General features: G+C 40.6%; 1 protein-coding gene across 6 annotated transcripts in view; it reads right to left on the bottom strand.

Annotated features, from left to right (window-relative positions):
• ZWILCH (zwilch kinetochore protein) overlaps positions 1-13,773 on the bottom strand; it is a 44,805-nt gene that overhangs the window by 2,752 nt on the left and 28,280 nt on the right. For all 6 annotated transcript variants that reach the window (XR_001751344.3, XR_007064470.1, NM_001287821.2 and 3 more), the window contains 4 exons: positions 11,310-11,446; positions 10,116-10,211; positions 7,169-7,281; positions 674-788 (listed from right to left, as the gene is read on the bottom strand). Coding sequence is in view for 4 of the 6 variants with exons in the window: in NM_001287821.2 (NP_001274750.1) it covers positions 700-788; positions 7,169-7,281; positions 10,116-10,211; positions 11,310-11,446 (435 nt within the window). In the remaining 2 variants the exon portion in view is untranslated. The remainder of the gene's footprint in view (positions 1-673; positions 789-7,168; positions 7,282-10,115; positions 10,212-11,309; positions 11,447-13,773) is intronic.

Here is a 13,773-nt window from a genome sequence, read left to right as displayed (position 1 = left end):
AAAATACAAAAAATTAGCCAAGCGTGGTGGCAGGCGCCTGTAGTCCCAGCTACTTGGGAGGCTGAGGCAGGAGAATGGCATTGAATCTGGGAGGCGGAGCTTGCAGTGAGCCGAGATAGCGCCACTGCACTCCAGCCTGGGTGACAGAGCGGGACTGTGTCTCAAAAAAAAAAAAAAAAAAAAAAAAAGAAAATGTCATTCCATTAATTCTTTTGGTTAATATGATCTCAAATCAAAACATTTTAAGAAGAGTATTTACATCTGGGGCTTGTCCTATAGTTGGGCTGGAATAAAATTATTTATAACAAAACTTCGCTTTCAACGGCAAATCAGTATGCCTGTTCAGGGTTTTTCTCTTGCATCAATGTTTTCAAAATCAAACTCACTTTCTACTACATATACAGATTTTAAATGCAAAGACATTACCACTCAAGAATTTTTTTTTATTTCTCTGGTTTTAGGATTAAATTGACCTATTAAAAGTTGACCACAAAAGGTAGAAAGAAAATTAAAGAGTTGCACTGCTCAATAACAACTGGTAAGCCTTTTATGTGATTACTAATAATCCCTATTCCTAATGTAGCAAATCGACATTGATAATGTAGAAAGAACTAAACGTAAGGTACTTATTACAAAGTATTTGACAAAGAGACTAAAATGTGAACATAAATACCTTATAGAGGACTTCATCAGCACACTTCACTTGAAATGCACCTGGCTGCAGGTAACCATGTTAGTAAAGAATATCCTTTCTTCCAGGCTACCGTTTAGTGTTAATTCCGAAAAATCTGTAATCAAAAAGAGAGTGAGATCAGAATTGCTTAACACCCTGCTTTTCTACCATGTATAATGCTGAATTTTACACCAATACAATAACTAAGAGGTGGTCTAAATGGCAATGTGTCTTCTACTTTAAGAGAATTCATTGGGAAAAATTCAGTAAGGACACTTGCTTTAAATATGAAACTCTTGATGCATTTAAAACATGATTAAATAAACTAAAAATGAAGCAGGTTATTTTTTAATTATATCTTTTTAATTTGGAAACTTACTGCTTTATTTTTTGTGCCATATTAACTAGGGTTACACAACTGTCTTTTCTCCAATCCTAACATAAATTTCAGAAAAGAATTTCTATTTAAGATTTGTAGTCTTAGGGCTAGACACATATCCATTTTTCTCCCAAAGACTATTTTATTTCAAAAATAAATGGTCCAATCAACATTTTGATGGGATAATGTCCACTTCCTTGTGGGTCAACATTTTGGTTTCCATATTTTCATCATTATCAACAATCATTTACTGAGCACCCACTGGGTGAGCAGCACTCCACTGGTCACGTTTTCTCCTCCATTAACTCCAAATCATTACCCTCTCTCTTTCCATGGTGGCTAAAAGTACACATTTCTCTCTTAAGTCTCCCTGCCTTTGATGTCAACTATTTTACTCAAAAGCATCATACCATTAAATTTCTTGAAAAGCTAGTATTGGACTTAAGTGCTCAGTCCAAAGAAATAAGAAGTCTAACTCCTTAAAAGCATACGATCTTCGAAAGAAAATTAAACATTTTAGGCCATATTTACAATTAAGACTTTGTTTGAATAGCCCATGACTTTTACAAATGAGATACCCCCTTCGAAAATGGGTCTTGCTTTGGGGATAAAAGACACTGAATAATTTCTAGACAAACATATCAAGAATATATGATGGCTACAAGAGGTTATAAAGTTCAAGCCAAAATGGAGTTTGAGTGTGTTCCTAAGCACATAAATATATGATTTTATAAGAATTCCTTATTTTCATAAAAGGAGTCACTGGACCAATGCACTAGAAAATTGCTTTAACTCCAACATTCAAAATAACTTTCACTCTTTTTTGTTGCAATCCATGTCAAAAAGACATTAAATGATGTGTTCAGTATACTTGCTTATTCAGCATTATTAGGAAAAGATGTTTCATCTTGTATGAATTTCCTCAAAACAGAACTCTAATCTCTACAAAATAAAATTTACTTTATTTTTTTGGAGACAGAATTTTGCTATTGCTGCCCAGGCTGGAGTGCAATGGCGTGATCTTGTCTCACTGCAACCTCTGCCTCCAGGGTTCAAGCAATTCTCCTGTCTCAGCCTCCTGAGTAGCTGGGATTACAGGCACCCGCCACCATGCCTGGCTAATTTTTTGTATTTTTAGTAGAGACAGGGTTTCAACATGTTGGCCAGGCTGGTCACGAACTCCTGACCTCAGGTGATCCACCCACCTCAGCCTTCCAAAGTGCTGGGATTACAGGTGTGAGCCACCACAACTGGCCAAAATTTACTTTAAAATGGCATTTTTTTCAGCTGGGCACAGTGGCTCACGCCTGTAATCCCAGCACTTTGGGAGGCCAAGGCAGGCGGATCATGAGGTCAGGAGTTTGAGACCAGCCTGACCAACATGGTGAAACCCCATCTCTACTAAAAATACAAAAATTAGCCAGGCGTGGTGGCACGCGCCTGTAATCCCAGCTAGTTGGGAGGCTGAGGCAGGAGAATAGCTTGAACCCGGGAGGCGGAGGTTGCAGTGAGCCGAGATCGCGCCACTGCACTCTAGCCTGGGTGACAGAGCAAGGCTCCATCTCAAACACACACACACACACACACACACACACACACACAAAAACCAAAAAAACAACAAAAAAACAAGGCATTTTTTTCACAAATGTTTCACATATATTTATGTCTTTAAAATTGTCCTTTTGGCCGGGGGCAGTAGTAGTTCGCACCTGTAATCCTAGGGCTTTGGGAGGCTGAGCCAGGGGGAATATTTCAGCTCAGGAGTTTGAGAACTCCTGGCCAACATAACAAGACCTCGCCTCTATGAAAAATTTAAAAAGGAAAAAATTAGGCAGGCATGATGGCGCCCACCCATAGTCCCAAGCTACTTGGGACGCTGAAGTAGGAGGATTGCTTGAGCCTGGAAGATTGAGTCTGCAGTGAGGCAAGATCATGCCACTGCACTCCAGCTGGGGTGACAGAGCAAGACCCTGTCTCAAAAATAAATAAATAACATTTTCTTTTTAACCATAAAATACGTTTCTTCTTTAAAAAACAAAATATATGTTTTCTTTTTTCTTTTTTTTTTTGAGATGGAGTTTCGCTCTTGTTGCCCAGGCTGGAGTGCAATGGCGTGATATCGGCTCACTGAAACCTCTGCTTCCCAGGTTCAAGCAATTCTCCTGCCTCAGCCTCCTGAGTAGCTGGGATTACAGGCATGCGCCACCATGCCCGGCTAATTTTTTATATTTTTAGTACAGGTGGGGTTTCACCATGTTGGCTGGGTCTGGAACTCCTGACCTCAGGTGATCCACCCGCCTTGGCCTCCCAAAGTGCTGGGATTACAGGCGTGAGCCATATGTTTTCTTCTTTAAAAGACATGTTTCTTCTTTAAAATCTTTAAAGAATATATGTTTCTTCTTTAAAAAACAATAGATGTAGACAGAATGTTTACTTTAGGTTGGTGATTCTCAGCCACAGTTGCACAGTGGAATCACCTGAAGAACTCTACAAATTACTGATGTCCCAGCTGTACTCCCAGAGATTCTGATTTACTTGGCATGAGCAACAGAACTTTTTTTTTTTTTTCTGAGACAGGGTCTTGCTCTGCTACCCAGGCTGGAGTGCAATGGCACAACCTCAGCTCACTGCAGCCTCAATCTCCTGGGCTCAACTAATCCTCCCACCTCAGCCTCCCAAGTAGCTAGAACTACAGGCATATGCCACCACACGCAGCTAATTTTTGTATTTTTTGTACAGATCGGGTCCCACTGTGTTACCCAGGCTGGTCTTGAACTCTTAGGCTCAAAGTGATCCTCCCAGGCCTTAGCCTCCCGAAGTGCTAGGATTACAAAATCGTGAGCCAATGCACCTAGCTTAGGCAATAGAACCTTAAAAGCTTTGCAGATGATTCTAATGTTCAGCCCAAACTGGTAATCATCTCTGCAATCACCATTCCACATCTCATGGCTAAAGTTGGATTGTATCCTTCTAGGTCTTTATCTAAGTCCCCGTCTCCATGTTTTTGCTACCATAAGCAATACCACAACTAATAGTCTTGTTCATAGGTCTGATTTTATGTGTGTAATAAATTCCTACTTATGAAACTGCTAGGCCAAAGAATGTATTTATTTATTTATTTATTTTTTGAGATGGAGTCTTGCTCCGCCACCCAGGCTGAAGTGCAAGAGCACGATCTTGGCTCATTGCAGCCCCCCACTCCCAAAGTCTAGCAATTCTCCTGACTCAGCATCCCAAGTAGCTGGGATTATAGGCACATGTCACCATGCCCAGCTATTCTTTTACAATTTTGATGGGTACTACCTCCCACAGAAGCTGTACAACTTTACATTCCAACCAGAAATGTGTGAGAATGATTGCCCGTTCTCCCATACCCACGCCAGCACAGACACCAAACTTTTTGATCTTTGCTAATATGGAAAAGGTATCTATATAATATAAATTTGCATTTCTCTTATTATAGGTGAGGTTGAGCATGGTTTATTCTTTTACATTTTTTAGAGATGGAATCTCGCTATGTTGCCCAGGCTAGCCTTGAACTCTTGAGCTCAAGCAATCTTTCCCACCTCAGCCTCCCAAGTAGCTGGGAGTACAAGCAAGCATATCTTATTTTTAAAACCACATTTGAATTTCCTTTTGGTACACTGTTTACCTTACTATCAATTTTTCTATTGAGCTATTAATATTTTTCTTACTGAAATATATCCCCTTTTCTGAACATGGGTTGCGAATTTCTTTTTTTGAGACGAAATCTTGCTCTGTCACCCAGGCTGGAATGCAGTGGCGCGATCTTGGCTCACAGCAACCTCCGCCTCCCAGGTTCAAGTGATTCTCCTGCCTCCGCCTCCCGAAGAGCTGGGACTACAGGCACATGCCACCACACCTGGCTAAGTTTTTGTATTTTCAGTAGAGACGGAGTTTCACTGTGTTAGCCAGGATGGTCATGATCTCCTGACCTCGTGATCCACTTGCCTGGACCTCCCAAAGTGCTGGGATTACAGGTGTGAGCCCCCGCGCCCGGCCTTTTTTTGTATTTTTTTAGTAGAGATGGTGTTTCACCGTGCTGGCCAGGCTAGTCTCAAATTCCTGACCTTGTGATCCGCCCACCTCGGCCTCCCAAAGTGCTGGGATTACAGGTGTGAGCCACCGTGCCCGGCCTGGGCTACAAATTTCTTTTCCTAGTTTATAATTTGTCTGTTTTGCCATGCAGAAATTTTTCTACTTTTACAGCTGATTCTCAGTCTTTTATCACTTCCAGGTTTTGTATAACACTTAGAAAAAAACAGCACAATTTTAACTGATGGCTCTCAGAAAAATTCAGTTTGGTTATGACTTTTATAGTTCAACTATATGAACAGAGCCTCTAACTGACAGAAATTTCCATTATACCTAAATCAGAATATACTTGGGAGGGCAGGAGCACAAACATTTTCTGGAAAAATTTTTTGCAAGTTATTAATCAGTAAAATAAAACTATTTGTATTCCCAGCAGTATAGGCCTTTGAAATCTAATTAATAGATTCAGTCTGAAAACTATCAGATTTGTTTTCAAATAATCTTTACATATTTAAATGAAGGCATTTAAGACCCATATGAATAAGAGACAACAGCACCGTACAACCCACGTGCATGAAGATATGAGTTTGAGGGTACTTCCTGAAGGAGGAAGACTTGGTAGGCTAGCTAATTACACAAAGGGCTAAAAGACATTCTTTGCCTAATATGGACCATCTGTGATAGAATACTAGCAATCTCAACCCTTATTTCAACCATGGAGAAGACACTATGACAGAAATATCATCATCGTTTTAACCAGTGCCCAAAAGTGTCAAGTATGAATCAGCATTTCCATCTTACAACCTATTTTTACTCCTATGTCCCTATTGCTTGATCTCTTTTAGTAAAAGTTCCTCTATACAAGATAAGGAGAAAAAGCATTCTTTTCTGATTATTATACACTAAATTTTTCTGGGTATTACAGTTGCATAAAAATAATGATAGTTTTGTGTGTGCGTGTGCGTGTGTGTGTGTGGTGTGTTTCTGAGACAGGGTTACACTCTGTTGCCCAAGCTAGACTGCAGTAGTGCGACCAGCTCACTGTAACCTCCACTTCCTGGGTTAAGTGATTCTCCCGCCTCAGCCTCCTGAGTAGCTGGAACTACAGCAACAAGCCACCAACACCCGGCTAATTTTTGTATTTTTTTTTTTTTTGTAGAGATGGGGTTTCTCCATGTTGCCCAGGCTGGTCTCTAACTCCTGAGTTCAAAGTGATCCACCTGCCTCAGCCTCCCAAAGTGCTGGGATTACAGGCTCGAACCACCGGGCCCAGCAGTTTTCTTTTTTAAAGAATAAATATGTTTTACACTTAGAGTTCGGGAAAATTACTTAAAACTGGGCACAGGCCAGGAGTGGTGGCTCACACCTGTAATCCTAGCACTTTGGGAGGCTGAGGCAGGTGGATCATGAGGTCAGGAGTTTGAGACCAGCCTGGCCAACATGGTAAAACCCATCTTTACTAAAGATACAAAAAATTAGCTGGGTGTGGTAGCACGTACCTGTAATCCCAGCTACTCAGGAGGCTGAGGCAGGAGAATCACTTGAACCCAGGAGGCGGAGGCTGCAGTGAGCTGAGATGGTGCCACTGCACTCCAGCCTGGGCGACAGGGGGAGACTCCATCTCAAAAAAAAAAAAGAAAGAAAATACTGGGCACACAAGAGCTATAATAATAATCCATTCCAGTAAGATTTAGTTTATTTTCTTTTTTCTTTTTTTGGAGGCAGAGTCTCACTCTGTTGCCCAGGCTGGAGTGCAGTGGCACGATCTCAGCTCACTGCAACCTCCACCTCAAGGGTTCAAGCAATTCTTGTGCCTTAGCCACGTGAGTAGTTGGGACTACAGGCACATGCAACCATGCCCGGCTAATTTTTTGTATTTTTAGTAGAGATGGGGTTTCACCATGTTGGCCAGGCTGGTCTCAAACTCCTGAGCTCACACAATCTGCCCACCCCGGCCTCCCAAAGTGCTGGGATTACAGGCGTGAGCCGCTGTGCCCAGCCAGACTTAGTTTATTTTCTGTTGGAATTATTTATCTGAACAGATTATAAACCATCTTTACCAGGTTTGTGAAAATTCAGATGGTCTATGGGTGAGCTGTCACTCAGTTGCCAAACTGTCTTAATCTTCTTTTGACCACTATATATTTCCACTCTCCATTTCTGTGGCTTCTCACTAAGGAAAGAATAAAACGACAAAAGAAAAATTTTCAAAAACAGCCATTTACTTCCTTCCCTCTACAGCCATTTAGTGAAGTCTTCATGTGATAAGCACTGAGGACAAAGAGGTAAACGGGTCACAATTCCCGCCCTTGAGGTGTATAGTCAAGAGAGCAAGAAAAATAAGAATAAAAATAACAATTTGGAAAAAAAAATGCTACAACAGAGAAATACTAGATGTGTTAGGGGAAAACTGAAGAGAGGAATGTAACTCGGATTGGGGATAGCAGAGTTGGAAAGAATCCTCAGAGGCTGTGATGTGTGAGCTGAGTATGAAATAACCAGGAGTTAGTTAGGCAGATAAACTCCAGGATGAAGGAATGAAATGTTGAGTATGCACCGAGGGTTAAGAGTGTGGAATGTCTGAAGAAATGCAGTAACACAGCATCCCTGTGATAGGAGACATTTAAACAGGAGGAAGTCCTGGTGGGATTTGAATTTTTAGGAAGATCATTTTGGCAATGACATAGAAAAGAAAGATAACAGAGGCAGAGCGCAGTTAGGAAAAAGGATTTTACCACAGTCCAGGTATGAAATGATGCAGATGTGAAACAAAGTAATGATGATGTGAAGATGTAGAGAAGGGGACAAATTCTAGAGTTACCAAGGTCTAGTCTAGACTCAGTAATCTTTTTTTTTTTTTTTTTTTTTTGACAGGGTCTTGCTCTGTCACCCAGGCTGGAGTGCAGTGGCGTGATCACAGTTCACTACAGCTTCGACCTCCAGGCCTTAGGAAATTCCTCCTACCTCAGCCTCCCTAGTAGCTGGGACTACAGGTGCATGCCACCATGCCTGGCTAATTTTTATATTTTTTGTAGAGACAGGGTTTCACCGTGTTGCCCAGGCTATCGGTAACCATTTAAAGGAGTGAGGGATGAGCGGAGGATAAGCACTACGTTTTTGTTTTGGCCATTAGATAGAGATTAATGATGGTGATTTGAGAGACAAAGTATGGGAGGAGGAAAAAGCATTGAGAAGGGGATGAGGTGTTAGGCTTTAGAGTTTGAACTGCTACTTCAATAAGCTGGGGATTCACAGCTAATAGGCATTTAGAAAGATGGGTCTGAAGCTCAGAGAAGCTGGAGATGTGAGTTATGAATTATCGTTAGCCTAGACAAGTTGAAGCCTTGAGAATAAATGCAATCACCAAGGGAAGATAGGAAGTAAGAAGAAAAGAAAGCAGAGGGTAGAGTTCTGGTGAAAAGTGGCAGAAGAAGAAGTACTTGAAAAGAGAACTGTTCTCAGCCTTTCAGATGGGCCAGAGAGGTAGAATTCAAATTAAGACAGATGCTACGTCACAGAAAATAAGGAGATAGGTTCAAGACAGCAATAGTGCTAAATGCCAAACAGCCTTATACGTGCTTACTGAAGTAGACCGAGCATGGTGGCTCACACCTGTAATCCCAGTACTTTGGGAGGCTCAGGTGGTCGGATCACCAGGTCAGAAGTTTGAGACCAGCCTGGCCAACATGGTGAAACACTGTCTCTACTAAAAATACAAAAATTAGCCGGGTGTGGTGGTGGGCGCCTGTAATCCCAGCTACTCCGGAGGCTGAGGCAGGAGAATTGCTTGAAACCAGAAGGCTGTGGTTGCAGTGAGCTGAGATTGCGCCACTGCACTCCAGCCTGGGAAATAAGAGCGAAACTCTGTCTAAAAAAAAAAAAAAGTGCTTACTGAAGTAGGAAGACTGGGTGGGCCAACCAATTACACAATGAGCTAGATAGAAAACAATCTTTTACTGAAAAGCATCCACTGGATTTGACAATTAGAAGGTCATTGGTGACCTTTGCCAGAGCAATTTCAGGGGGAGTGATGAGAGTTTGGCTAAGAAAGAACTAAATACAGGGAGGACATAAATAGAGTGGCTATAGTATGAGAGAAATTTCAAGTATATCATATGCTGAGAGAAGAGTCAAGGAGACCCTCATTGGAGGCAACCTCAGTGTCCATGTGGATGAACAATCTATCATCTCAGCCTCACAGTTCCCTACTTCCTCTAATCCCAAACCCTTCTCTCACTCCCACAGTCATACCCTAGACCCTGTTATCACTATCCTGGTCATTTTTCTCCTAATCCATCATTTCCTTTCTGGCTATACTTTCCACTCTTCTCTGAAGGAATAACAAATACAGAGAAAAATGAAAGACTAGAGGCCCAACAGTCTAGAGAGAGGTCTGAGAGAAGGAAGAGGGAGAACTCTCTCAGACTATGGTCACAGATGATTAAGGTTTCAGAGGTGACGAAGCTCTGGGTCATGAGGTCCCTACTGAATATGAACACTGAAATTGCCTAGGATCATGGGTGGACTTAAGATAATAAATTAAAATGCTTATTTATTATCATTATTATTATTATTTTTTGAGACGGAGTTTCACTCTTGTTGCCCAGGCTGGAGTGCAATGGCATGATCTCGGCTCACTGCAACCTCTGCCTCCCAGGTTTAAGCGATTCTCCTGCCTCAGCCTCCCGAGTAGCTGGGATTATAGGTGCATGCCACCATGCCCAGCTAATTTTTGTATTTTTAGTAGAGATGGGGTTTCACCATTTTGGCCAGGCTGGTCTCGAACTCCTGACCTCTGGGGATCCACCCGCCTCGGCCTCCCAAAGTGCTAGGATTACAGGTGTGAGCCACCACGCCCAGCTATTATTATTTTTTAATAGAGACAGGGTCTCATTATGTTGCCCAGGCTGGTCTCGAACTCCTGAGCTCAAGTTATCCTCCCACCTCAGCCTCCCATAGTGCTAGGATTACAGGCATGAGCCACCATGCCTAGCAAAAATTGCTTACCTTTGATATAAGTTCTTTACAGCAGTTGGTCTGACTGGCAGCTGAAAAATGTGTTGCTCATCAAGAGGATTTTGTTTGTAATACTTTATGCAGATCCTGAAAAAACAAAATGGAACCTCTTTTGGAAAAAAGAGCCATTTGACATAACGTTTTTCTGGTAGTCTAAAGCTCGTAAGGGAAACATTTTATTGAGTACTACTAACTAAAACATCAGCGAACACTTTTAGAGCCACAAAAGTAAACAAACAAACACAACAACCCTACAAACAAAACTTAGGTTATGTTTTTTTCTTTGAAAACAAATCTCATTCACTTTTAAAAAATTAATAGACATATTTCTCATAAATATAAAATAAATTTGAGGCCAAAGAAAGGCTTCGTGGGGAGAAAGAGGTTACAGAAAGAGAGAAACAATACAAAAAAAAGAGGCAGAAGAGAAACAAAAGTACAGCTTCCATGGTTTTCAGAGTCCAAGGAATTACAGTTAACTCATTCATTCCACTGATCTATAATGGGGAAAAAAAAAACAAAACTTGGAGATTCTATAAACAATAACAATTTCAAACTTTCCCCTCTACAACTGAGGCAAATTGTAATTTTGGAAAATGTAATGGTACATTTCCTTCCAGAGGGAAAAGAAACCCAGTCCTTCCACTGGACAGTTCACTTCCTAGTTTGAGGCCTCAAATACACATAAGATACCAGCAGTCCGTGTCTGAGAATTTTTCCAAATAACCTCTAGTCAAACTAATTGGAATCTCAAATTACAGCAGTCTCTACAATTACAGCAATGCTACTGACAGAGGTCTAGTAGTACTATTTGATTCCATTGTTATCATTTAGATGGCTGGCAAGGCTATTTTGACCCAAATTGACAGGGATATAAAGAAGAGAAGGAACTAGTATTTACGAATACATGAGGTTATTAGATCCTTTTTACAGATGAGGAAACAGGATTCAGTGATGGAAACTTCCTAAGGAAGTTAGGAAGTGATGCAGCCAATGTCAAATCTGATTCCTTTTGAATCCAAAGCCTTTCCTGCCTATGGCACTGACTTAGACTCATGCATGCTACTGTAAAGACAGGATGAAGAGGTTCTATCCTAACTGGTAATAAAAACTGTACATATTTAGGCTGTAACTATTTCAAAAGAAATACATTTCTATATAAGTGAAGAATACAGATGTACTTACTGTGTTAAAGAAAAGAGGAGTTCATGTTGAGATTTAATGAAAGGCATGCAACTGACTAATATTTCTAGAATATGGTGGAGTTTTTGGACACGATAAACCTGTTCTTGTATATCTACTGATGGAGCAATGAAGTATTCCTGGAATGAAAAAATATAAGCAAAATAGAGATTTAAAGCACCTGTGTAACCTTTGTAAAGAATATAGGTATGCCTTCTACACCTACATTTGGATGCTTGATAACAGGCATTAAAAAAAAAAAAGACCAGAAGAAGCTAGATAGAATTTCTCACCTTTCAATACTATTATTCAAACTAAATTATAGTCATGCACCATACAACAGTGTTTGAGTCAACAATGGATCACACATATTACAGTGGTCTTTTTTTTTTTTTTTGAGACAGGGTCTCACTCTGCCACACAGGCTGGAGTGCCGTGGCGTGATCTTGGCTCACTGCAACCTCCACCTCCTGGATTCAAGTGATTCTCCCGCCTTAGCCTCCTGAGTAGCTGGGATTACAGGCATGCACCACCACACCCAGCTAATTTTCATATTTTTATTAGAGACAGGAATTCACCACGTTGCCCAGGCTGGTCTCAAACTCCTGACCTCAAGTGATCTGTCTGCCTCAGCCTCCCCAAGTGCTGGGATTACAGGCGTAAACCACCGCGCCCGGCCTACAGTGGTCTTATAAGATCACAATAGAACTGAAAAATCCCTCTCGCCAGTAGTGACTTTGTAGCTGTAATGTAGTGCAATGCATTATTCCCTTGTTAGCTGTGATATTGGTATGAACAAAACTATTCCTCAAAAAGAGCCTCAGGCAGGACCTTCAGGAGGTATTCCAGAAGGCACCTATGTTATCTCATAGGTGATAACAGTTCCATGTGTGTTCTTGCCCCTGGAGAGCTTCCAGTGCGACAAGATGTGGAGGCGGAAGACAGTGATACTGATGATCCCAACCTAGGCGAATGTGTGTGTCTACGTCTTAGTTTTTAACAAACAAATTTAAAACAAACAAAAAAAAAAGTTAAAAATAGAAAAAAGCTCATAGAATAAGAATACAAAGAGAAAATATTTTTGTATAGCTGTACAATGTGTTTGTATTTTAAGTGTTATTACAAAAAAACCAAAAAGTTTAGAAAAATTTAAAAGTTTATAATGTAAAAAAGTTATAGTAAGTTATGGTTAAATTTTTATTGAAGAAACAAATTTTTAAATAAATTTGGTGTAGCCTAAGTATACAGTGTTTATAGTCTACAATAGTGTACAGTAATGTTCTACACCTTCACATTCACTCACCACTCACTCACTGACCCACCCAGAGCAACTTCCAGTCCTGCAAGCTCCATTCATGGTAAGTGCCCTGTACAGGTATCCACGTTTTTATCTTTTGTACGTTATTTTTACTGTACCCCTTCTATGTTTAGATACACAAATACCATTATGTTACAATTACCTACAGTATTCAGTACAAAAATATACTGTAAAGGTTTATAGCCTAGGTGTGCAGTAGGTTATACCATCTAAGTTTGTTTACGCCACTCCCTGAAATTTGAACAATAAGGAAATCACCTAATCACACATTTAAAAAAATAATGACACATTTCTCAGAATGTATCCCCATCATTAAGTGAAGTATGACTGTATATACAGATACAGTTGTCCGTTGGTATCCATGGAGGATTGGTACCATGATCCCCTTTGTATACCAAAATCCATGGATGCTCAAGTCCTTTATATAAAATAGTATAGTATTTGCATATAACCTATGCACACCCTCCTGTATGCTTTAAATCACCTCTAGATTACTTGTAATGCCTAATACAATGTAAATGCTACATAAATAGTTGTTACACTTACTGTTTAGAGAATGACAAGAAAAAAAAGAGAATAATGACAAGAAGAAATCCACACATATTCAGTACAGACATAATCATCCCTTTTTTTTGAAACAGGGTCTTGCTCTGTCACCAAGGCTGGAGTGCAGATAGACAAAAAAGTAGCCCACGATCACAGCTCACTGCAGCTTCAACTTCCCCGGCTCAAGTGAGCTTCCTACCTCAGCCTCCCAAGTAGCTGGGACCACAGGCACAGACAACCATGCCTGGCTAATTTTTTTATTTTTGTAGAGATGGAGTCTCCCTATGTTGCCCAGGCTGATCTCACACTCCTGGGCTCAAGTGATCCTCCCAAAGTGTTGGGATTACAGGAGGGAGCCACTGTGCCCAGCGTATTTTTTTTAAACATTTTCAATCTGCAGTTGGTTGAATCCATGGATGCAGAACCCACAGACATAGAGGACCAACTGTGTGTATGTATGTTTGTGTGTGTGTGTGTGCGCGTGTGTGTGTGTGTAGTTTTTGCTAGAACATGTGTCCACTAAAAATATATGCCCTTAATAAAATGTTTAAAATTTGAATAGTAAAAATTAAACCTCAGAAGAATCCAGTTGAGTCTATTTTG

This window comes from Homo sapiens, chromosome 15 (genome assembly GCF_000001405.40).
Source record: "Homo sapiens chromosome 15, GRCh38.p14 Primary Assembly".
In the NCBI taxonomy this organism is placed as follows: Eukaryota; Metazoa; Chordata; class Mammalia; order Primates; family Hominidae; genus Homo; species Homo sapiens.
Note: the sequence above shows the minus strand (reverse complement) of the source record. Positions and strands in the feature narration are given on the sequence as shown.